General features: G+C 38.9%; 1 pseudogene across 1 annotated transcript; it reads left to right on the top strand.

Annotated features, from left to right (window-relative positions):
* The first annotated feature begins 5,250 nt into the window (after positions 1-5,250).
* SELENOOLP (selenoprotein O like, pseudogene) lies at positions 5,251-18,102 on the top strand (annotated as a pseudogene). The gene is made up of 3 exons (XR_930765.3): positions 5,251-5,332; positions 12,532-12,619; positions 16,634-18,102. The product of XR_930765.3 is annotated as a selenoprotein O like, pseudogene, transcript variant X1 (transcript).
* The last annotated feature ends 7,735 nt before the right edge of the window (positions 18,103-25,837 follow it).

Here is a 25,837-nt window from a genome sequence, read left to right as displayed (position 1 = left end):
TTTAGGTGTTTGTAATACTGATAACTTCAGTTTGTTATCCATTACAATTGACTAAGGTCAATTGGCTTTATGGAAGCCTGTAATCCCGGTATGTACAATTTGCATATGTGTGCATACATACACACTTTATTTCACTAAAAATATCATCACAAGTTATCTCAGGTAAACTGTTATAGATAACACAGTGACGGGGTAGTAGAAAGAATTGGGTTCATTTATAAAATGGTCATTTTTATATGCCTACCAGATCTTCTGGGTGCCATTAAGTGATACAAAGATGAACTCTTCATGGTTTCTGTCCTCAGAGAATACATATTATAAGGGCCGGGCATGCTGGTGAGCACCTGTAATCCCAGCACTTTGGGAGGCCAAGGCAGGAGGACCTCTTTAGATTAGGAGTTCGAGGCTGCAGTGAGTTACAGTGGTGCCATTGCACTCCAGCCTAGGTGACCAAGTGAGATCCTGTCTTTAAAAAAAAATCCAAATTAAAATCCAATACATACTAGAGAAGATGGCATGAGGTATACCAGGAAACACGTTGTCAGACAGGTGAGATTTTGAGTTCAGCATCTGACCCTTAATAGCTCTGTGCCTTTGGAAAAGTTACTTAACCTCTCACTCCACTAATATATGAAATGGAGGTAACAGAAATCCAGTATTGGCACTGGAGAGATCAGAAGTGTTGCGGAGGACATGCTACTTGAGTAGGAGATTGAAGCCGTATGTGATAGACTGGAAATTCTTATAGGATAGAAAAAGATTTCTCCGTTAGACAAATGTTCATGTTTTAAAAGCTTTTAGTGTATTCTATTAACTTCAACTTAATGTCAGAAAGATTTTTATATAACAACTACAGATTCATATGTTCAACTATAAGCTTAAAAACAAAGAAAGAAGCTATTTATTATAATTATCCCCACTGTGGCTGGGGACAGTGGCTCATGCCTATAATTGCAGCACTTTTGGAGGCTGAGGCAGGAGGATCCCTTGAGGTCAGGAGTTCAAGACCAGCCTGGGCAACATAGGGAGACCCTTTCTCTACAGTTAATTAAAAAAATTAGCTGGGCATGGTGGTACATGCCTGTGGTCTCCCAGCTACTTGGGAGGCTGAGGCAGAAGGATCACTAGAGCCTGGGAGGTGGAGGTTACAGTGAGCTGGGATCATGCCACTGCATTCCAGCCTGGGTGACAAAGCAAAACTTTGTCTCAAAATAAATAAATAAATAAATAAATAAATAAAAATAATATTTTCCAACATAAAGCTATAATGTTTTATTTTAAATAGAGATTTGGTACAAAACACATCTGAGAATGAAAGAAGATATAAAATAGGAAATCAGGCCAATATTAGGATGTTTAATTTTAACAAGTTGTTACAAGCTCTAAACCCATTGCTGGACCCTAGGCAAAAGCAGCTGTGAGTAAATCCTTAATCTACTCATAAAATCTGTGTGAAAACATATTTGTATAATGATTATTTTTCTTGAAAACTAAGAAATTAACACCTAAAATACTCTCTTATTATTTAGTGCTGTATATTTTTTCTAGTTCAGTTTGGGCTTTTTTGTCCATGGCTACTGGGGTATAGTTTTTTTCTTGCTTACTGCTTTTTAGATGCTGTGAAATCTGTTTATTTCCTGTTGAATCCAAGAGTTATTTATCACTGTATTTCTTTTTTTAATCACTGTATTTCTTAATTTCTAAGTAGTTGGAATTATTTTGTCTGTGTTTTTATGACTAAAGAGTACGTTTGATAAAACTCTGCTATTCAAAATGTGTTAAGGTGTCTTTGTGGCCCAACATAAAACATTTTTGGATGTGTTTGGTGATTATATGTAAAAACATGTATTGTGTAGTGAGAAGTTTTAATATATCAAATTGAGTGTACTGATTACATTATTCAAGTCATTTATGAGCCTCTCAATTTTCTCTGTTAGATAAGTTAGATTCTTTTTTTTTTTTGAGACAGAATCTCACTCTGTCGCCCAGGCTGGAGTGCAATGGCGCAATCTTGACTCACTGCAACCTCCGCCTCCCAGGTTGAAGCGATTCTCCTGCCTCAGCCTCCCGAGTAGTTGGGATTACAGGCGCCCACAACCATCCCTGACTAATTCTTTTGTACTTTTGGTAGAGACAAGGTTTCACCATGTTTGCCAGGTGGGTCTCGACCTCCTGACCTCAGGTGATCCACCTGTCTCAGCCTCACAAAATGCTGGGATTACACAGATAATTTAGATTCTTAAGAGATGTGTATTAAAAGCTCCTACTTTAATTATATTTATATCCAAGTTTTTTTCTAATTGTTTGAAATTTACATATTTTGCTATGTATTATTGGTACATACAGATTTTCTACTTATATTTTCTTCAAAAAATAGCTTTTATCTTAACAATGATTCCATTTATTTTGATATATACTTATAACTGTTGATTTCAATTCACCTGACATTAATATTGCCATTCATGCTTTCTTTTGGTTGAGTTTACCTTGAATCTCACGTTAACTTTTACCTTTATCTACCTATCTTTATTTGTTTTAAAGTGTTCTTCCTGTAAAAACAATGTATAGTCAGATTTTGATTCAATGTGATAGTTTCTCTCTTAACAGAAGTACGTAGGCTGATCATATTTATTATAACAACTGATATATGTGATTTATTCCTTCTATCTGACATTGTGCTTCATCTTTATTTTACTGTTGGCCTCCCCCAGACTTTCTTATCTTTTTCTGATTTGAAATTCATTCTTCTCCCTGACACCCCACCCCGTGTTGATTTGGAAACTTGACTGAAAAACACTTCTGCAATTCCATTCAGTTATCTTCTTTTTTTGTCACTTTTATGGGAAAACCAGTTTTTAGATATTTTTCCTAAGATTCTATCTGTCCATTGCTTTCCCCTTCATCCCAATAAGATGAGACCTTTAGAATGTTTTTGTTTTGTATCTAGTTACGTAGCTGCTAGATTTTGCTAAGATAGTTTAATATTTTGAATTTTAGATTATTTGGTTTTCCCTTGAAGTGTATCTGTTCTGTTTAAAGTGTCTTTGTATTTGACACTCCCCCATCTCCCACTTGGAGTCATTTCTCTGCTTACTACCGTCCTTTTCTCATGGTTCCATCTTCAAGTCTCTGTCTTGATTACTTTCTTAAGTGTTTTGCCCAAACAGGGTAGATAGGTGATATATTCTGATATATTCTCTGAATCTTTGCATAACTGTTAGTGCAGTTTTTATTTTACTCCAACAGATGATTGATATTCATTTGCATGTAACATATCACCGTGCCTCTTTATCTTCCGCCTGAGCCATATTCTCCAGGCTAGCTTTTATCAGTAGTAAGATGATATTTTAATCTCTGTCTATCTACTGCATGGTCTCTTATTCTGAATTTGGACTGAAGAGAAAAAGGAACATGGTTGCCTTTATTATGCAGCAATAAATAATAAATAGAAAAATTTGCAATGTTTATAATTGCTCAAATTGAAATATCATAGGTATGTATATGAATAAGTGTGAATGATATTCTGAGTACATTAGCATTATATCAAATGTTAAATATTGATTGATTCTACTACTAGACATTGAGCTCCTGGAGGCCAGGGACCACATTTTAATCATTTCTGTGTCTCTAATGTATTTGCTAGAAGACAAAATATATTTCTCTTCCTACCTTTCCTCTCCTCCAACTCCTCCAATCTAAAATTGAGCCTGTTTTCAGTACAGCAGTACAACAAGATTCCGGATGGAAGTCAAGGCATAGAGTGATTTGATTAACCCTGGTAGCAAAAATATTGTTTCAGTACAGATAAAAATTTTACATTCCATCTGTGATTTTCTTAATTTAAAAATATATTGGTACTACAGTCACATAGTTCAAAATCAAAGTGATATAAAATGATATTCATTAAGCCATCTTGCTCCTACCCTTGTCTCCATCACTTTTGTACCTGCTTCTCCCTGCAGAGTTAATTCATTCAACAAATATTTATTGAGTACTTAGGTGCTCAGTGTGTGCCAGACACTGTTCTAAGTGCTAAGGGCACAGTGAAGAAAAAAAAAAACAGGAAAAATAATTGATTCTGCATGATGCTTACTTCTGGTAGGAGAGACAAGTTAACAAAACAAATAAGTTATATCGAGTATTAGGAGATAAGTGCTACAGAGGGAAAGAAAACAGGTGTGCACCTCCATGGCTGCCTAATTTTTTTAAAAATTTTTTGTAGAGATGAGGTCTTGCTATGCTGCCCAGCCTGGCCTCAAACTCCTGGGATCCAGCGATCCTCCCCGCTTTGCCTCCAAAGTACTGAGATTACAGGCATGAGCCATGTGCCCAGCCAAGATTTTTTTTTTTCTTTTGAGGCAAGGTCTGGCTCTGTTGCCCAGACTGGAGTGTAGCAGGTCACTGCAACCTCCACCTCCTAGGCTCAAGGGATCCTCCCACTTCAGCCTCCTGAGTAGCTGGGACTACGGGTGCATGCCACCACGCCTGGCTTAGTTTTGAATTTTGTTTTGTAGAAACAGGGTTTTGCCACATTACCCAGGCTGGTCTCAAATCCTGGGCTCAAGAGATCCAGCCACCTTGGCCTCCCAACGTGCTGGGATTACAGGCGAGAGCCACCACACTGGGCCAAGATGTTTTTTGGTTAATAAAAAAGAAGGTTTGGTATTGCCTAAAAAACTAAACACAGTGGTATTTTATACATTGTTTAGTCAAACAGTATTTTCTGTCTTCCTTTCAAACCAATGTGATTTTTTAATGTGTTTTTCTCATTATTTGTCTTGTGAAAGAATTCCCTCCTATTTGAAGAAAAGATATAGTTTGAGGAGACAAGTAGTTAATTTTGTCTTTTGTTTTATTCAGTGTTAGTAACATGAATGACTCAGATTCTGAAGGAAGAAAAAGAATGACAAGTAAGTAATCCTTTTGATGTTCTCAACTTTAAGGATTATCACATAAAAGCAATGGTTTTTGAAAACCAAAAGCGATGACTTATGGTTTTGAGGCTGAGTTGCTTTGTTTTAAACTAGGATTTTCCTTCCTTCCTTCCTTCCTTCCTTCCTTCCTTCCTTCCTTCCTTCCTTCCTTCCCTCCCTCCCTCCCTCCTTCCTTCCTTCCCTTCCTCCCTCCCTCCTTCCCTTCTTTCTCTCTCTCTCTCTCTTTCTTTCTTGAGACGGAGTCTTGCTCTGTCGCCCAGGCTGGAGTGCAGTGACGTGTTCTTGGCTCACTGCAAGCTCCGCCTCCCGTGTTCACGGCATTCTCCTGCTTCAGCCTCTGGAGTAGCCGTGACTACAGGCACCCGCCACCGCGCCCGGCCTTAACTAGGATTTTCTAGGTGGGTATATTTTAGTTGAGTTAAACTTTCTAATTTTAGCCAATGGCTTTAAGCTTGGAGTATGACTACTCTGCTTTCAGTAAATTTGCATAGTAATGTTAAAATACTATTAACTTAAAAGATGGTGGACCGAGAAGGAAGGTGGTGTGGCATATGGTGGAAAGAACATGGGTTTTGGAATCTGGCGGAAAATCTCACCTCTGCCAGTTTTTAGCTGTATGATCTGAAAGATATTTAACTCTCTGAATCTTCAAGTGCTTCGCTGTAGTAAAATGGGGATGTTTTGCAAGCATCTTATTTATTTATATATTTTTTTGAGACAGAGTTTCGCTCTTGTCACCCAGCCTGGAGTGCAATGGCGGGATGTTGGCTCACTGCAAACTCCGCCTCCCGGGCTCAATCGATTCTCCTGCCTCAGCTTCCTGAGTAGCTGGGATTACAGGCGCTTGCCACCAAGCCTGTCTAATTTTTGTATTATTATTAGAGATGGGGTTTCACCATGTTGGCTAGGCTGGTCTCAAACTGCTGACCTCAGGTGATCTGCCCGCCTCGGCCTCCCAAATTGCTGGGATTACAGGCATGAGCCACTGCGCCCGGCCTTGCAAGGATCTTATAATGTGAGCAATGTATGTACAAAGCATCTTGTTATAGCCTGGGCCATAATGCTCATACAGTAAATTAGAGCTGTAGAAATCAATCACTGGGCCGTAATACTCATACAGTAAATTAAAGCTGTAAAAATCAATCACTTCTATGTATTGATTTTCTTTTCCTTTTTTTTTTTTTTTTTGTTTTTTGAGAGAGTTTCACTCTGTTTTCCAGGTTGGAGTGCAGTGGTGAAATCACTTCACTGGGAGGGCCTTGACCTCCCAGGCCCAAGTGATCCTCTCATCTCAGCCTCTTGAGTAGCTGGGACTACAGGCATGTGCCACTATGCCTGGCTAATTTTTTTGTACTTTTAGTAGAGATGAGGTCTCACTATGTTGCCCAGGCTGGCCTCGAATTCCTAAGCTCAAGCCGTTCTTCTACTTCCATCTCCAAAATGTTGGGATTGCGAGTGTGAGCCACTATACCTAGCCTTAATTTTCAGTTTACTGTGTTGACTTCACACTTGGCTTGGAGAAGGGAAAAAACAGGGCTGGGCGTGGTGGCTCATGCCTATAATCCCAGCAATTTGGAGCCTGAGGCGGGAGGATTGCTTGAGCGCAGGGGTTCAAGACTAGCCTGGGCAACATGGGGGATGCCTCTCTCTATAAAAAATTTAAAAATTAGTTGGGAGTCGTGTCACGTGCCTGTAGTTCCAGCTACTCGGGAGGCTGAGGTGGGAAGATCACTTGGGCCTGGGAGGTCGAGGCTGCAGTGAACCATGATTGTGCCAGTGCACTCCAGTGTGGGCGACAGAGTGAGACCCTGTCTCCAAACAAAGAAACAAACAAACAAAAACAACAAAAAAGGAAGGTAATTCTTTTTGCAGTTCAGGTTCTAGCAAGATCAAAGAAGTTAAGGCAGAAGGATCTGAGCCTTTGAGTGCTTCTGCCTTAGGACTTGTATAGAGAGTATGTGTGTGTATCGGGGTGGCTGGTTTCTGTCCATGAAAGAAGGATGACACTAACATTCCACATTAGGTTAGGGAATGAAATTGCTTCTTGAACTCGGGACATTATTGTAGACATAAAAGCAAGTTTAGTTCTTACAGTGAAGTGGGTGAGCTCTTTGGCGTTCATTTCCTTGCCAGCCATTTATGCCCGTTTGGGCAATCATACAGAACTTCCAGGCCAGCTCAGAATGTGAATAGTCCCAGCAGCTGAGAGAAAGAAGTCTAAAATATTTTTAAATGCCATGTGGTGGCAGTCCTTAGTATTTGGATTTACTTGGTTAGGATAGATTGGATGAAATGGCAAAATGAAAGAAATGAAGTGGGTTCATGGCTGCAGCTTTGCTTCTGTGATTTTAGAGAAATAGTAAATGCTAAACTATGTGCTCTCAAAGAAGGGAAGAAATCAATTTCCATGAAGAACAATGGTATAATAAGAGTTTATAATGATAGTTCATTTACTTTTTAAACGTACACTTCCATATATTCTTATATATTTAATTGATCTGTAAATGGAAATATATAAAATATTGATTGCACATGTTTATGTAACAATGTATAGCCGGGATGTGGAGTTAAAGAATTATACAGACATGAAGAAATAAACATCTAAGCAGGAGACAGCTGAGTAAAGTCTGATCCTCGTTTCCCTCATGGAATCTTTTTATTTCCGTGTAGCTCCTTTCTCTGGAGCAACCAGCTGTGCTGGTCCAGAGTTAGACCAGCTATGCTTGAGTTCTGGTTGACCAAACATTTCCTAGATGACAGTAAGCCTGTCACTTGATGCCCCACTTCTTTCTTTCTCTCTGGTGTGTAATTTTTAACAGCTTTATTGACATATAATTTACACACCATAAAGTTCATTCAAGTATAGAATTTTTTTTTACTAAAGAAATTGTGCAATCACGGAAGTCCAATTTTAAAACATTTTTATCCACTTAACCTGTCCTAACTTTTATGCCCTCATTAATACTATACAGTGCATATGTATAATGGGTTGTTGCACAGACTCAATAAGATAGTGGTTGGCTGGCTCGCGCCTGTAATTCCAGCACTTTGGGAGGCTGAGGGGAGTGGATCACCAGGTCAGGAGTTTGAGACAAGCCTGACCAATGTGGTGAAACCCTGTCTCTACTAAAAATACAAAAATTAGCTGGGCGTGGTGGTGCGCGCCTGTAATCCCAGCTACTCAGGAGGTTGAGGCAGGAGAATCACTTGAACCCAGGAGGTGGAGGTTGCAGTGAGCTGAGACTGTGCCACTGCACTCCAGCCTGGGCAACAGAGCGAGACTCCATCTCAAAAAAATAAAAAAATAAAAAAAGATAGTGGTTGGCACATAGTAAGTACTCTATAAATACCAGCTATTGTATTATTATGGAGTGCATTAAATATCCTTGTCATATTGCAAACACTGGGATGGATATGTTTTTTAGAAACCAGAAGATTAAAATATATATATATATATTTATATACATACAACATACATATATATACCATATTTATATTTATTTACATAAAACTATATATATGTTTTACATAGTTCCAAAACATGTTTTAAAAACTCAGGAGTAGATTGGGGAAGATTTGCTATTAAAAATTTTTAGAAATGCTCTAGTTGCAAGCAATGGGAACATCAAAGATGAGTGTTTTACAGGTCTTAGAAATATTTTTTAAATGCTCAATATTTATTATTCTTACACCTCCAAATAACTCTAAGGAAGATCATAAACCACCAGTAGGCATTGGTCATTTCTTTTTCATGCTACACAGTGCCCATCCCAGAATAGTTAAAACTACATTTAAGAAATGCATCACGGCCGGGCATGGTGGCTCACGCCTGTAATCCCAGCAGTTTGGGAGGCTGAGGCAGGCGGATCAGCTGAGGTCAGGAGTTTGAGACCAGCCTGGTCAACATGGTGAAACCCCATCTCTACTAACAATAAAAAAATTAGCTGGGCTTGGTGGCAGGTGTCTGTAATCCCGGCTACTTGGGAGGCTGAGGCAGGAGAATTGCTTGAACCCGGGAGGTGGAGGTTTCAGTGAGCCGAGATCACGTCATTGCACCCAGCCTGGGCCACAAGAGTGAAACTTCATCTCAAAAAAAAAAGAAGAAGAAGAAGTAATGCATTTGATTTACTATGATACTCGGGACAGGCATTGTTGATTTTGTATTTCAAGAAGATGATGTTTTGTATGGTGTTTAGCTCTGTAACTATAAAGATTGATAGGGAAGTAGTCATTTCTATCGTTTCCTTTTCTTCTTCTTTTTTTTTTTTTGAGATGGAGCCTCGCCCTGTTTCCCAGGTTGGAGTGCAATGGTGGGATCTTGGCTCACTGCAACCTCCACCTGGTGGGTTCAAATGATTCTCCTGCCTCAGCCTCCCAAGTAGCTTGGATTACAGGCACCCATCACCACGCCCAGCTATTTTTTGTATTTTTAGTAGAGACGGGGTTTCTCCATGTTGGCCAGGCTGGTCTGGAACTCCCGATCTCGTGATCTGCCCGCCTTGGCCTCCCAAAGTGCTGGGATTACAGGCATGAGCCACTGTGCCTGGCCTACATTTCTATAGTTTCTTTGGAAAGAATAAGATCATCAGGCTCCTATGAGAAAACAGCTGATGTCCCAAAATGAAATATTTCCATGTATTTAAGTATGTTACCCTAGGTAGCTCTAGCATTGTGTGATTGGGTTCATATTGCAAAGGAGAATTTTTTAAGCCCTGAAATATCTGTATCTGCAATAAAATTAGGTTGGCTGTAATTCTTTTCCCAGCACTAAATTGAGTTATTTAGCAAACACATACCAAGTCCCTATTATGTGTATCTTTGCATAGTCAAATTGTTAAAGCTAAAGCCACAAAGATGAATTTGATTCCCACCATTAAAAAGCCTGTGATCAGGCCAGGTGCAGTGGCTCATGCCTGTAATCCCAGCACTTTGGGAGGCCAAGGCGGGAGGACACCTGAGGTCAGCAGCTGGAGACCAGCCTTACCAACATGGCGAAACCCTGCATCTACTGAAAATACAAAAATTAGCTGAGCTTGGTAGCGCGCACCTGTAGTCCCAGCTACTTAGGAGGCTGAGGCAGAAGAATCACTTGAACCCAGAAGGCGGAGGTTGCAGTGAGCCAAGATTACGCCACTGCACTCCAGCCTGGGCAAGAGAGAGAGACTCAGTCTCAAAAAAAAAAAAAAAAAAAAAGCCTATGATCAACTGGGCAAGGTGGCTCATGCCTGTAATTTCAGCACTTTGGGAGGCCGAGGCAGGCGGATCACATGAGGCCAGGAGTTTGAGACCAGCCTGGCCAACATGCCGAAATTCCATCTCTACTAAAAATACAAAAAAATTAGCTGGTCATGGTGGCACACACCTGTAATCCCAGCTACTAGGGAGGCTGAGGCACGAGAATCTCTTGAACCCAGGAGGTGGAGGTTGCAATGAGCCGAGGTCATGCCATTGCAATTCAATCTGACTGAGGGAGTGAGACTCTGTCTCAAAAAAAATTTTTTTTTCATTAATAAAGCCTATGACCTAGTGCATCAGTGATTAACATATTATGTGGAACTTTGGTTGAACTTTTGTTTGGACATAGTCTTCCTTAACCACTGCTTAAAATTTTATTGCCAAAAGACATACAAACAGAAAATTTCGAACTGGATAAAAATGTACAGAATTAGATAATGCCTCAAAGAATCTTATATACAGACCTAGAATGTGCTGATTTCCAAGTAGTTTATATTTTTACAATTTGATTCAAAGTGCTTAGACTTACACCTGCAATTCCTAATGTATTTCAACAGTATTTTATTGCCAAGTTTTTATATAGCGTTTGTCAAATTTGCCACAATTTTTAACTGGATGACTCTGTTCTTCTCTGCCTAAGTTGAGTCCATCCACAGTTTCCTTTGCATGTCTGTCACCCATTTGTATGCATTTGTATGAAGACTCTTTATATTTTTGTGTGTGTATACATTTTTATTTTAAAGGTGTTTGGTATGAATTTTTTTTTTTTTTTTTCTGAGACAGAGTCATACACTGTTGCCCAGGCTGGAGTGCAGTGGCGCGATCTTGGCTCACTGCAACCTCTGCCTCCTGGGCTCAAGCAATTCTCCTGTCTCCTCCTGAAGAGCTGGGATTACAGGCTCGTGCCACCATGCCCAGCTAATTTTTTTATTTTTAGTAGAGACAGGGTTTCTCCATGTTGGCCAGGCTGTTCTTGAACTCTCGACCTCAGGTTATCCGCCTGCCTCGGCCTCCCAAAGTGCTGGGATTACAGGCATGAGCCACTGCCCCTGGCCTGTATGAATTTTTTTAACTTGAAATATGCAAACATGGAAAGAATTTTAAAAGATCCCTCTTATTCCCATCACCCAAACACAATGACTATTCACTTTTTGATTCACTTTTGAGTAGACTTAAACCTCTATTTTCTGTGTCTATTGATTAGGGGAAAATGTAGTAGGATAATAATTATACTATGGTATACTTTTAGATTCTTCTTCTTTTCTTTTCTTCTTTCTTCCTTCCTTCCTTCCTTCCTTTCTCTCTCTCTCTCTTTCTTTCTTTCTTTTTTTTTTTTTTCAGAGACTCTCCGTTTCCCGGGCTGGAATGCAGTGGCATGATCATGGCTCACTGCAGCCTTGACCTCCTGGTCTCAAGCAATCCTTCGACCTTAGCCTCCCAAGTAGCTGGGACTATAGACAGGCATCACCGTGCCCAGCTACTTAAAAAAATTTTTTTTGCAGAGATGGGGTCGCACTATGTTGCCCAGTCTGGTCTTGAACTCCTGGGCTCAAGCAGTCCTCCTGCCTTGGTTTCCCAAAGTGCTGAGATTATAGGCATGAGCCACCAGGCCTGGCCAGATTATTTTTTCACTAAAAATAAGCCAGGTGCCGTGGCTCACTTGAGGTCAGGAGTTTGAGACCAGCCTGGCCAACATGGTGAAACCCCATCTCTGTGAAAAATACAAAAATTAGCCCGGCGTGGTGGTGCACATCTGTAATCCTAGCTACTCAGGAGGCTAAGGGACCAGAATCGCTTGAACCTGGGAGGAGGAGGTTGTAGTGAGCCAAGATTGTGCCACTGCACTCCAGCCTGAGTCACAGAGTGAGAAGCCATGTCAAAAAAAAAAAAAAGCGTTTTTTATTGCTACTTCATTCTTTTTTTTTTTTTTTTTTTGAGACAGAGTCTCGCTCTGTTGCCCAGGCTGGAGTGCAATGGTGCAATCTCAGCTCACCACAACCTCCGCCTCTCGGGTTCAAGTGATTCTCCTGCCTCAGCTTCCCGAGTAGCTGGGATTACAGGGTCCTGCCACCATGCCCGGCTAATTTTTGTATTTTTGTTAGCGACAGGGTTTCACCATGCTGTCCAGGCTGGTCTCGAACTCCCGACCTCAGGCGATCCGCCCGCCTCGGCCTCCCAAAGTGCTGGGATTACAGGCCTGAGCCACCATGCCCCCAGCCTCTTCATTCTTTATAATGTAACATTTTTAATGGCTGTATAATATTTATTTGAAAGTATACGTTTTACTTATTAAGTATCCATTTGTTTCTAGTTTTACCTTAATTTAAATAATGCTTTTTAATGTTTACATTTGTTTCCTTAGACTATGTTCCAGGAGAAGTAGAATTACTGCATCACAGGGCACTTCATTTTTAGATTACGTATCATGGCGGCAGACCTTCAATACCAAGGTGAGATGGAATATGTAGTCCATTCAAGTAATGGGAACTTCAGATGAGAGTCATGTAACTGGGGTCCGCAGTCCTCTCAGAATTTCTGTTGTACCATTCAGGACAGCATCTCCCCTCCCTGACCAGTTGATAAATCATCTTGCAAAAGGCTCATCTCAAATGAAGATGTAATTCCTGGAATTTTTTAAAATATGTCGTTTTTATAAGATTTTTAATAGGAAAAAATATATGGTTATTGTCAAAAATACAAATTTATAAAGGTTTTTAATTGCATGAGACCTTTCCTGTTTGCTCTCAGGCAGCATCAGCATTAAGCAGTTCTACTGCGTCAGACCTTAATTCTGTGCCTTAAAAGCAGCAACTGTTTTGTTTTGTTTCCTCCTCTCCACTTAGGCTGCAGGGCCCAATTCAGATGAATTAACTACATTGGCTTTATAAAATGCTTACTGAACTGAAAATGATGAAAGAAAAAACAAATTAGTGATGAAAGAAAAGAAAAATAAAACATAACATTCATGAAAATGCTCACAAAAGGTTTTTTCTGCACCAAAAGTTAATAAATGCTGTACATTGTTTATAAATAATTAAAATGGACTGATAGTGATAACGTGTTCTCTTTTGACCCTTCCAGCAAACTTCTTAAAGGTTTTCAAATATAGTGGTGATTTCATATGGCCTGTGTTGACTTCATTTATAGTTGTTGTTTGTAATTTATTAATTTGCTGTTTCCAGATGTGCTCTCTCCCGCCCCTTGTTTAAGCTGTTAACCCTAGGTATGTGCTGAGGAACTGGATGGCAGAATCTGCAGTGCAGAAAGCAGAAAGGAATGATTTCTCAGACCTAAGATGGTTGACTTCTCTCAGTTCATTTTTATTAATTAAAAATCTATTATATTTTGAAGACGCTTGTTTGCAGACATGCTAAATTATACCATTGCCAACACCAGCTTCCTAGATTTCTCCCTGCTTGGTCTCTCTTTGGTTTATCAGTTGAATTATTTTCTCATATTTTCTATTTATGCTTTATAAACATTTTTAAATATTTGTTTTAAAACACACACATATACATTATTTAACCCTTCAAGGGTCTGATTCTGCTGTTTATTGTTTGTGTTTTGGAATTGTGGATTTTAGTCTCTGTTTGAAATCTAGTGAAATGGAATTTGAGGGTATATGTCTCCAGAGGGCAGTAGCATTTGCTCCTTTCAGGCATGGATCCATGGTACTACCAACCTGGGTCCACTTTAATCCTGACAGCAATGAAGACGAATAAACTAGAGCTACATGTATTAGCATCAATGACTCTCACAATTAAAATGAAAATTTTTAGACATGGGGTCTCACTCTGTCACCCAGAGTGGAGGGCAGTGGCATAATCATAGCTCACTGCAGCCTCCACCTCCCAGGCTCAAGCGATCCTCCCCCATCAGCCTCTCAGAGACTACAGGCGAGCACCATCATACCTGGCTAATGTTTTTATTTATTGCAGAGACAGAGTCTCACTATGTTGCCCAGGTTGGTCTAGAACTCTCAGGCTCAAGGGATCCTCCTGCCTTGGCCTCCCAAAGTGCTGGGATTACAGGCGAAGCTACTGTGCCCAGCCAAATCTCACTTATAATGTTAAGCAAAACAAGCAAATGGCAAAGGAATTCACACAATGTGTTACTACTTGAATATAGTATAAAAATAAGCAGAATCCTATCAATATCATACAATATGGCTTCAACAGTATTGAAAGTATTTTATTGCTGAAGTTGAATGGAGGATACACAGGTGTCCATAATGTTATTCTGTATATGTTTTCTGCCTCAAATATTTCATCATTAGCTGTTTAAAAATGCATTGCACGTTATGTATTTTTTACAACAGGAATGGCCCTGGCTCTCATGCTGCCACTCTCCTGTCCCATGCCCGGAGGGTACGTTATTGATAGTCATGACCCTCTTTCTGTCTCAAACCGGTCATAGCCTCAGAACCATTCTCATCACAGCATGCCCTGACATCATCAGCCACTGATCAGAGTTGGCATGAGAGAGAAACCATTTTGCTCTTTCTAATTTGGAGCTTGTATTAGCTTTTTATCTCAGTAGTTTAATTAGCCTGACAATTCTAGGTTTTCATTTCAGAAAACATAATATTTTTAAATAGAATCTTTTTATGATATGAAGGAGAAACAAAGAGAAGGGAGATCCCTCAACATTTATCATTAGATAAATTTGTCTCCACAGGGGAAACTACACGGTGTTCAGTAAGCTGTTTTGTTGGCCTGTGTCTCCTTTCTTCTATATCTTTTATTCCCCCCCTTCTTTCCATCCCTTCCTCAAAATTATATATGAGTAATGAGGCAGCGCCCCTGGGGCAGGGTGGGTGGAGGTGTTTTCTTAGGGTCCAGTAAACATTCAGATTCAAACGACTATCACAGGCCACACACCTGGCCCCAGCCAGCTGAGAGAGACAGAGCACAGGAACAAAGCTTCCGGACAGGGCAGCACCAGGTTCTCCGTGTGCAGGGGAACTTGGAGCAGTCCACACCAGCAGTAAGGCACAGCAGCTTCACTCAGGTGCAAGGATCTGAGAGTCCCACTGTGACCGTGCAGGGCAGCCCTGTCTTAGAAGCTTCAGGCTCTGCAGAAAGCAGTGTCTCTTGTAAGAACTCCATAGGCATAATTTCCAGATCCTCACAAGAGACCTGCCTCATGGTAGGAGTCACCATGCTTAGGAAGGCCCAACGCATCCTATCAGGTATTTGCAGTTCTTCCAGTCCAGAAGTTACTTGTCCTTTGTGGGCAATGCTGTATGGTGATAGAGTTGACCTACCGCCTTATCAGGATACCAGGGAAACAGAACCAGAAAGGTAACTAAATGTCAACTTCTCATGCAGGAGAAGAACAACATTTTGTCAAACCTTTCTACATGCAATCCTTTACACATGGAACTGGTATTTATCTTCTTTCCTCAAACATTTCTTGAGAATCCATTCAATGCAAGTTGCTGATTAATTAGAGGGGCTCTTAAACTAGTAGGTAGGTGAGACCAATAGGTATACAGCCAACTTTAAAAAAAAGAAGTGTATAGAAAGTACCCAGGGAGAAGTGCTAAGATTGGCTCCAAAGCCCTGTATTTATGATGATGCAATCTTCATATTTAAAATACTAGTGACACAATAATATGTTCTACTTGAACTCCCACCTTTAATTTCTTAGTATAGATAATCACCCACCTTTTCTATGATAGCTAAGCATTTCCTTCGTAATACCCAAGAAATAGCAAAAGCACTGAAAATATACATTTTGATATCAGATTGATTGTGGAAACAGGTGTGTTTTTCAGTGCCTCAGTTTATTACCATGGGGCCAAATTCCCAGTAAGAAGCAGCATGAGCTGGAATTCATGGCCTTCATTTGGAAAGACTAAATCATTGACATCCTTTTATTTCTGTAAATATTTTAGAAAATTACAATTGCCTAAATGCTGTACAGGGATATTAAGATTAAAATATACATTTTCATTCACTTAGTTTAGTACAAAAAGTTAGAAAGTACTCTTAAGGAACTTTCTGTGGAATAATAGAAACTCCAAGTAACAACTAGAGTTGAGGTTTTCCATAAAGCATAAAATGTATAAACTTTTTTTTTGTTGATGTTGTTGTTGTTTTCTTTGAGAAGGAGTCTAGCTCTGTCACCCAGGCTGGAGTGCAGTGGCACAATCCCGGCTCACTGAAACCACTGCCTCCCAGGTTCAAGCGTTTCTCCTGCTTCAGCTTCCCGAGTAGCTGGGAGTACAGATGTGTGCCACAACGTCTGGCAAATTTGTGTAATTTTTGTTGAGACGGGGTTTCACCATGTTGGCCAGGCTGGTCTCCAACTCCTGACCTCCAGTGATCTGCCTGCCTCGGCCTCCCAAATTATAAACATTTTTAAACATTTTAAATTGACCTTGCCATTTAGAAATGGAGAAATTCATCAGGGTCCTGAGTAATTCTAATCTACATTTACCTGCTCGCATTGTTTACTAGGTGCATCTTCTCCAGCAAGTTCTTCAGCATCCTTTCCAGAAGCATTCGGCAGCCGAGAAAGCAGGCTACACCTTACCTACTCCTTCCTGGGCTAAAGATCTCAGACTTAGTTGCTTATCTTAATTTGGGGAAAATAAATTAAGGAGTTCTTCTATCATTAAGCACAACATAATATAATCTATTTAATAAATTCTGATCATCCACATTTTGATGGCAATCCCACATTTGAAAATAATGATTATATATGCAAATATTTTTAGCCAGTTAAATTGGAACTTATTCTTTGAAACATCATGATCATTTTTGTTCTAATCAGTAACTATAATGGAACAATAAGGTGTTTTTGATAAACCACATGAGTTATTTTCATTGATTATCTTATGACAGTTGTTATCAAAATGGATTATTACATATTTATCTAGTATTTGCTGTAAACTCAGCAGTTTGGAATACATCAGTAAGTATTTAGTTTTATTATGCTACTAGAGTTTTTTTCCGTATTATAGAATTTTCAAACATTTACTAAGGTAGATAAAATTTTAATAGTTTAATGAACCTGGTTTACCATTTAATCAGCTTATTAGTAATCAATACATGGCCAATTTCACTTCATTTACACCTCCACACACTTCCCTCATATTCCTTGTTATTGCCTTAATTGAGATATAATTTACATGTCCTCAATTATGTTTTGGAAAATGGAGACATTGTTTCCTCTACAAATATTTCTGTATGCCTCTCTAAATATTAATGACTTAAAACACAAACAGACCCTGACACCATATGACCTTAGGACAAATTAGCAATAACTTCCTAATGTATAAAATTAAATATCCAGTCAGTTTTCAAGGTTTCCCTATTGTCTTGTAAATTATTATCATCTTCTTTATTTTATAGTTATTTTAATTGGGATCCAAATAAGGACTATACATTAAAATTAGATGAAAATATGTCTTGTTTCCTTTGATATCTTTGAGTATATCACCTACGTGTGTCACCTACATCTTTTTTCACTTGCACTCTTTTGGTTTATTTTGTTTTGATTGAAGAAACCAGATTATTTATCCTGTAGTATTTTGACACTCTGCATTTTTCGGATTGCATTTCGTGGTATTTATTAAACCTGTGATATAATTTGAATGTATGCTCCAAATCTCATTGATATGGTTTGGCTCTATGTCCCCACCCAAATCTCATCTTGAATTTCGACCCCCATGTGTGGATGGAGGGACTTGGTGGGAGGTGATTGGATCATGGGGGCCATTCCCCCATGCTGTTCTTGTGATAGAGAGTTCTCAAAAGATCTGGTTGTTTGATAAGGGTCTGGCATTTCCCCTTTGCTCTGTCTCTCCTCCTGCCATGTAAGATGTGCCTTGCTTCTCCTTCACCCTCTGTTATGATTCTAAGTTTCCTGAGGCCTCTCCAGCCATGCATAACTGTGAGTCAATTAAACCTTCCTTTCTAAATTACCTAGTCTCAGGTAGTTTCTTTACAGCAATGTGAAATTGGACTAACGTACTCATGTTGAGATGTAATCCCCAATGTTGGAGGTGGGGCCTGGTGGGAGGTGTTTGGGTCATGGGGACAGATTCATCATAACTTGATGCTGTCCTCCTGATAGACTGGGTTCTTAGGAGATCTGTTGTTTGAAAGTGTGTGGCACCTCCCCTCACTTGCTCTCTTGCTCCCACCCTCTCCATGTGAGAAGCCTGCTCCTGCTATGCCTTCTGCCATGTCTGGAAGCCTCCTGAGGCCTCCTCAAAAGCTGAGCAGATGCCAGCACCACGTTCCCTGTAAAGCCTGCAGAACTCAGCCAATTAAACCTCTTTTCTTTATGAATTACCCAGCCTCCCATATTTTTTTATAGGAACAGAAAAACAGCCTAGCACAACACGTTTCTCTGCCCCCTGTATTTCTGTAACTATAGAGCTTCAGTCAGTTTCAGAAAGGATTTATTTGGCAAAAATACTTGAAATACAGAGCAAACATCTGCCTTGGTGAATTGCCACTATTTCTTCTGTAACTACATTTATGTTCTATTTGAATTTCACTGTTATCACTTTTTTTTCTGTTGCAGTTTTAGCCCTGTTGATTAATTTCCACTTTTGATTATTCCTTTTTGTAAAATGTCACGTGGGCTTCTCGCTGGGAGACAAGGAGGCAAGACAATAACATGCTTTGCTCTCTGTATGAACTCAGTAACAAATATGCAGTGATTGGCAACAACATACTTTGAAAGAAGTGATGGGTCACTGATCATGATTCATCTGTTATTTAGGCTGTGATTTGTGGACTGAAGAACTAACAAGAAGTTTATACTTTATATAATTACAGGTAAAATACCATGATAACTGAAATTAGAACCATGTTGGGGAACTCGTGTCATTTAATTCAATCATGCTTATTGGAACTAGGTAGAGGGGCGATGGCCTGTACCTCTTACCTTCCTGATGTTTTCTTTTTTATCTGCAATAAACATTTACATCATTCCTTGTATAGACTGTGAAATTGTCTATCAATTCTAGACATGTAGTCTAGAATCACTTTTTATACTACATTTTATAATTGAGCATCACTGGTATATAGTATATAGGACAGTTTTTGGTTTCTATAATTAAAGGTTGACTTTATTAAAGTATTAAGTAGATACACCATCTGAGAATTTAAAAGTCTGTCTTTTTCATTCAAATAGTTGTTCATCCTATTTTTTTTGTTGTTATATGTATTGGCTAGAGACTTCAGGATAATGTCGAATAATATTAATGATAATATTGACTTTAATGGTGTATTAGTCATGTCTCTTATTTTCTGAATTCGATGCTTTGACATCCAGGGCTTTGTTGTCCATGGAGGGACTGCCCCTCTCAGGATAAGCTAATTCCTGGACGTAAGCAACTTGCCTGCATGTATGTCTTCATATATAAACCAACCAATCCAGAGCTCATACCCCGTTCTTTATCCTTTCTTTATCACCCTCTATTCTTCTTTATCTATCTTTATCCTTCTTTATCACTCTCATGTCCCAGGCCACTATCCGCCTGCCCTAATTGCCTCAGGGCCAGGTAGCAGACAACTAGGGACAGCCTCTCCTCCCCAAGATACCACGAAATTATTCAAACTAGCCAATCCTAAGACTGGTTGCCCTGCCTTGCTTGTTCCTTCCTGTGGAAAGTACAGTAAAGAGTCTTGCTCGTGCTTTCCCCCGTCCCCTCTACCTCCTGACTGACCTTGATGTTTCCCTGTTTTGCCTCTTGTGGTGTGAGGTGCCTACAGCTCCTAGGGAACCCTGAGTAGCAAAATAAAGTACTTCCCTCATGACACTCATTTCTGTGTTCATGTGTCTTATCATACTGATTAAAACAAATCCTGGGTACCATAAAAATAAATGACATTTCTATTCATGCTTTGTTATTAAATATGCCTTTTGCTGTAGGTTTCTAATAACTTTTATCAATATAGAAACATCTTCCTCAATTGCTAGTTTCTTATGAAGTTTTAAATTTTTTTTAACAAGGAGTGGTGTTGAATTTTATCAAGAGCCTTTTTGATGTTTATTGAAATAGTTGTTTTTTCTCCTATGAATTTTTCTAATAGAAACTATACTGATTGAACAATAGGTTAAAATTAAAGTTTCATCAGACTCTCAAGATATAATAGCTGTGAAAGTCTAAATCACCATATGTAGGTTTTCATAGCAAATATCTGAGAACCTGCTCCACAAGTATTAATTCTCCTCACCTGCTTTAACAATATGAAAGGATGTGGAGTGGAGAACACTGCAGGGAGCTGTTGCCTTGCACTTTCCCCTACCTTACCTTTGATAGTCTTATGTATGGGGAGGAAAATAATGCACATCCTTAACCCTGGGTCTAGAGGAGGACTCTTCAGGAGGCCACCAGGATAACTGACCAAAAAACTCCTGGAACTAATAAGCAGTTATAGCAAGGATGCCGTATACAGGATTAGTATAGAAAAATCCATTGCAGTTGCTCTCCTGCACACAAACAGTGAGCAATTGGAATTTGAAATTAAAAACACAATGCCATTTATGTAAACATTCCCACCACCAGTGAAATAATTAGGTATAAATCTAACAAAATATATAAAAGATCTATGAGGAAAACTACAAAATTTTGATTAAAGAAATCAAAGAAGGACTAAATAAATAGAGAGATATTCCATGTCCATGGATAGGGAGGCCTAGCATTAACAAAATGTCAGTTCTTCCCAACTTTCTCTCTAGATTCAATGCAATCCCCATCAAAATCCCAGAAATATATCACTTGGATATTGACAAATTGATTCCAAAGTTTCTATGGAGAGGCTAAAACAAAAACAAAAACCAAAAAAAAACAAAAACAAAAACAAAAAAAACAAGAACAGATAACGCAGTATTAGAAAAGAAGAAAATCAGGGGGGTAACACTACCCAATTTCAAGATTTGCAAGAAAGCTACAGCAATGAAGACAGTGTGGTAGTGGCAAAAGAATAGATGAATAGACCAATGGAACAGAATAGAAAATCCCAAAATAGACCTATACAAATATTTGACAAAGGGGCAAAGGCAATACAATGAGGAAAAGATAGTCTTTTCAACAAATGGCACTGGAACAACTTAATATCCATAAGCAAAATCAAAAATCTAGACACAGATCTTACATCTTCCCCCAAATTTAGCTGAAAATGGATCATAGACCTAAATGTAACACACAAAATTATAAAATTTCTAGAATATAGGAGAAAAGCTAGATAACCTTGGGCATGGCAATGACTTTTTAAATACAACACCGCCAATGGCATGATCCATGAAAAAAGTAATTGATAAGCTGGACCTCATTCAAATTAAAAACTTCTGTGTAATGCACAGTCAAGAGAATTAGAAGACAAGCCACAGACTGGGGAAAAACATCTGTGAAAGACATATCTGATAAAGTACTGTTATCAAAATATACGAAGAACTCTTAAAGCAACAATAAGAAAAGGAATAACCCAGTTAAAAAATTGACAAAAGATCTGAACACACACTTCACCAAAGAAGATGTACAGATGGCTAATAAGCATATGTAAAAATTGCTCAACATCATATGTCATTAGGAAATAGCAAATTAAAACTGATACCACTACCTACCTATTCAAATGCTTAAATACAAAACACTGACAATACCAAACAATGACAAGGATGGGGAGCAATAAGAATTCTCATTTATTCTTGGAGGGAAAGCAAAATGAAATAGCCACTTTTTAGAAGACAGGTTGTCAGTTTCTTACACAGCTAAACACACTTTTTCCATATGATCCTGCAATTGCACTCCTATTTACCTAAGTGAGTTGAAAACTGATATTCACAGAAGTGTCTGCACACAAGTTTCCAGCAGCTTTATCCATAATTGCTAAAATTTGGTGGCAACTAAGATGTCCTGCAATAGGGGAATGAATAAATGAACTATGGTCCATCCAGACAATGGAATATTATTCAGTGATAAGAAGAAATGAAGCCAAGATCACGCCACTGCATTCCAACCTGGATGATAAGAGTGAGACCCCATCTCAAAAAAAAAAAGTTAAGAAGAAATGAATTATCAAGCCACGAAAAGATAATGGAGTGCTGTGGTTTGACTATGGATTGGCCCTTCCAAAACTCATGTTTAGGCTTGGTCCCCAAGGTGGCAGTGGTGGGAGGTGCTTTAAGAGTCATTAAGATGGATTAATTTCTTTCAGGTGCTACGGGGTTAGTTCTCATGGGAATGCATTAGTTCCCACGAGACTGGGTTGTTATAAGCAAGGTTGCCTCTCCTGGTTTGTCCCCCTTTTGCATGCAGCCACTTCTCCTTCCGCTTATCTGCCATGATATGATGCAGTCAGTGGGCCTTCCCCAGACACTGGCACCATGCTCTTTGGACTTCCCAGGCTCCAGAAGCATGATCCAAAGCATCTCTTTTTAAAATAAACTACCCAAGTATTCTGCTATAGGAACAGAAAATGAGACATGGAGGAACCATAAATGCATATTATTAAGGAAAAGAAATCAATTAGAAATGGCTACATATGGTGATTCTAACTATATATTTTGGAAATGGTATAATTATGGAGACAGTAAAAAAGACCAGTGGTTTCCAGGGTTTAAAGGGGAGGGAGAGATTAATAGGTGGAACACAGGATTTTTAGGACAGTGAAACTAATCTATATGATTCTATAATGGTGGATACATATCATTGTACATTTCTGAAAACCCATAGATTGTGCAACATCAAGAGTAAACCTGCAGTAAACTGTGGACTTTGGGTACTAATGATGTGTCAATGTAGGTTCCTCAATTGTTTCAGCACGATTTTGGTAGCATTTTGGTAGTGGAGGAGGCTGTGCATGTATGGGGACAGGGGACAAATGGGAACTCCCAATACTTTTTGCTCAATTTTGCTGTGAATCTAATATTGCTCTAAATCATGAAGTCTATTTCAAAAAACAGAAACCAAAAATGGATGGCTTTAACATAGATTAGATTGTGCTGAAGAAAAGAATTAGTGAATAGGAGTTAATGTCTGATTAATATAACCGGAATTGATAAAGAAATGGAAAATATACACAATTAAGAGATACGGAGGCTAGTGCTAGAAGATCTAACATATATTTCATTAGAATTTTAGAAGAAGCGAATAAGGAGAGGCAATGTTTGAAAACAATATAAATTACATTTTTCTGGAATAGTGAAAGACAGATATTCTAGATTCAGAAACCTCAGTAAAATATCAGGCAACTTAAGCAAAAAGAAACCCACAGTTATACCTACTGTGTGCACCAAAGACGAAGAAAAGGTCTTAAAATCATGCAGAGGGGAAACAAAGAGATGACCTAATAGAAATAATAATTTGACAGCTGACTTCTCAACAGCAACAGTGAAAGGGAGAAGACAGTGGGGACAATTTCCTCAAAAAGCTGAGAGTTTTTACTGTCAGTTGAAATTTTACACAAAGTTGAAACCATCTTTGAAGAATGAGGTAAAATAAAGATACTCTAGGAAAAAAAGTCAGCTATAACTCAACTACTAGGCAATTGTGTGTGTGTGTGTGTGTGTGTGTGTGTGTGTGTGTGTGTTTGAAACCAAAGTATTCCAAAGTCCATGTATTTCCTAGGTTAAAGTTGTTTAACTTGGGACTTTATTGAATATGGATATTATCATTATAACTAGCCATTAAAAGAAATAAAGATACTTTAGGAAAAAAAGAAGTTAGCCATAACTCAACTACTAGGCAATAATGTGTGTATGTGTGTGTGTGTGTGTTTGAAACCAAAGTGTGCCAAACTCCATGTGTTTCCTAGGTTAAAGTTGTTCAACTTGGGACATTATTGAGTATAGATATTATCATTATAACTAGCCATTAAAAGAATAGAAACAGTATATAACTTTTCAACAAGAAGCTTAAAAAGGGGAGTAAGAGAAAAATCCTAATCACGTGAAGCAGACAAGAAAGGAAGATAAAAACCCCAGAAAAATCCAGGGTAATAGGAAGTGCAAAATAAGATGTTAAAAACAAATACAAATATATAATCACAGTAAGAGTCATAAGAAGAGGCCATTCGTGGTGGCTCAGACCTGTAATTCCAACACTTTGGGAGGCCAGGGCAGAAGGACTGCTTGAGGCCAGGAGTTAGGAACCAGCCTAGATGACATGGTGAGACTCCTATCTCTACAAAAAAGAAGAATTAGCCAGGCAGATGGCATAAGCCTGTAGTACCAGCTACTCGGGAGCCTGAGGCAAGAGGATGGCTTGAGCCCAGAATGTTGAGGCTGCAGTGAGCTATGATCGCACCACTGCACTCCAGCCTGGGTGACAGAATGAGACACCGTCTCTAAAAACAAAAACAAAAACAAAAAGAAAGAAAGAAAGAAAATTAAAAATGTTAAAAGAATAAAATTGCAGTTAAAAGATAATAATTCCTGAACTAGATATAAACACAACAAAATCCGCCATATGTCATTAAAAGTGGCAAACATAGAACATAGAGAGTTTGAAAGTGCATGAATAGATTGGTCAGGCAAATACCTGAAAAAAGATGATACAGCTGCATGAGTACAAGACAAAAAGCAGAAAACATTGCATGGTGACAGATGGTTCAATTCACCAGGAAGTCACATACATAATTTTTGTTTACACTTAATAATTAACCATGTCAGAATATATAAGGCACAGTTCACCAGAACAATGAAAAGATATTGACAAATCTGCCCTCAGAAGATTTTAAAACATCCTTCTTAGTAATTGATGGATGCAACAGACCAGGTAACAGGCTGCAGGCAGAAGATTTGTGGAACATGCTTAACAAGCTTGTTCTAAGGAACATGTATAGTACATTGTACCCAAGCACACATAAACCACCAGTAAAAATGGATCAGACATCAAGCCATAAGTCTCAAGCACACTTCAAAGGCTCAATTATCATGGACTTGGATCATTTCAGTATCATACCAGCCAAGATTCCTATGATCAAACAAAATGTGGCTTAAATGTTCATTCTCCTCTTTGAGGACCTACTGTAAAATCTAAGTTCATATTCTATCATGTGGCGGGTTAAATCATATTTTCTGTAAACTCTTCCAAACCCTGTGGTTTTTGTTGCAGTTGGCCTATTACATGGGTCTTTGCCCCAGTGGCAGCATTATAAAAGAAATTATGGAGTTTTCATAAGCTGTGGTGTAGTATTACTGCCCTATATTATTAATTATACACTGTTCGTAATATATTATTATCCTTGCACTTCCTCTCTAACGTCCAATTTCACCCCAGCTTTTGCGCTCCCCTCACCTCCAGTATCTCACTAAAATTTTCATAAAGGAATAAAGTTTGCTGCATTTTCAGGGTCAATCTAAATAACCCCACTCAGGTATAGCTGGTACTTGTAAAGACCTCACAGCCAGACACCAAAGATTGTGTTCCACTTGAGTGAAAATCACAGGGTTGACGATTGTCATGAGAACCCTCTATTCATGGACTTGCCTGGTTCTATTTGTCAGCGTTTTCTTAACATGAGTGACTCCATTTTGATTCTGACAACTTTCATAGCTCTCTTCGCTGAACCTTTCCTGTATTGTCCCAGAGATCTGCATAAAGACCATTATGTAGTCAGGTATCAGAAAAGCTGTGTCTTTCACATGGACACAAAGAGGGGAACAACATACACTGGGGCCTGTTGTGGGGGATTGAGGGG

This window comes from Homo sapiens, chromosome 10, assembly GCF_000001405.40.
Source record: "Homo sapiens chromosome 10, GRCh38.p14 Primary Assembly".
NCBI lineage: Eukaryota > Metazoa > Chordata > Mammalia > Primates > Hominidae > Homo > Homo sapiens.
This window is presented reverse-complemented; position numbering and strand designations above follow the sequence as displayed.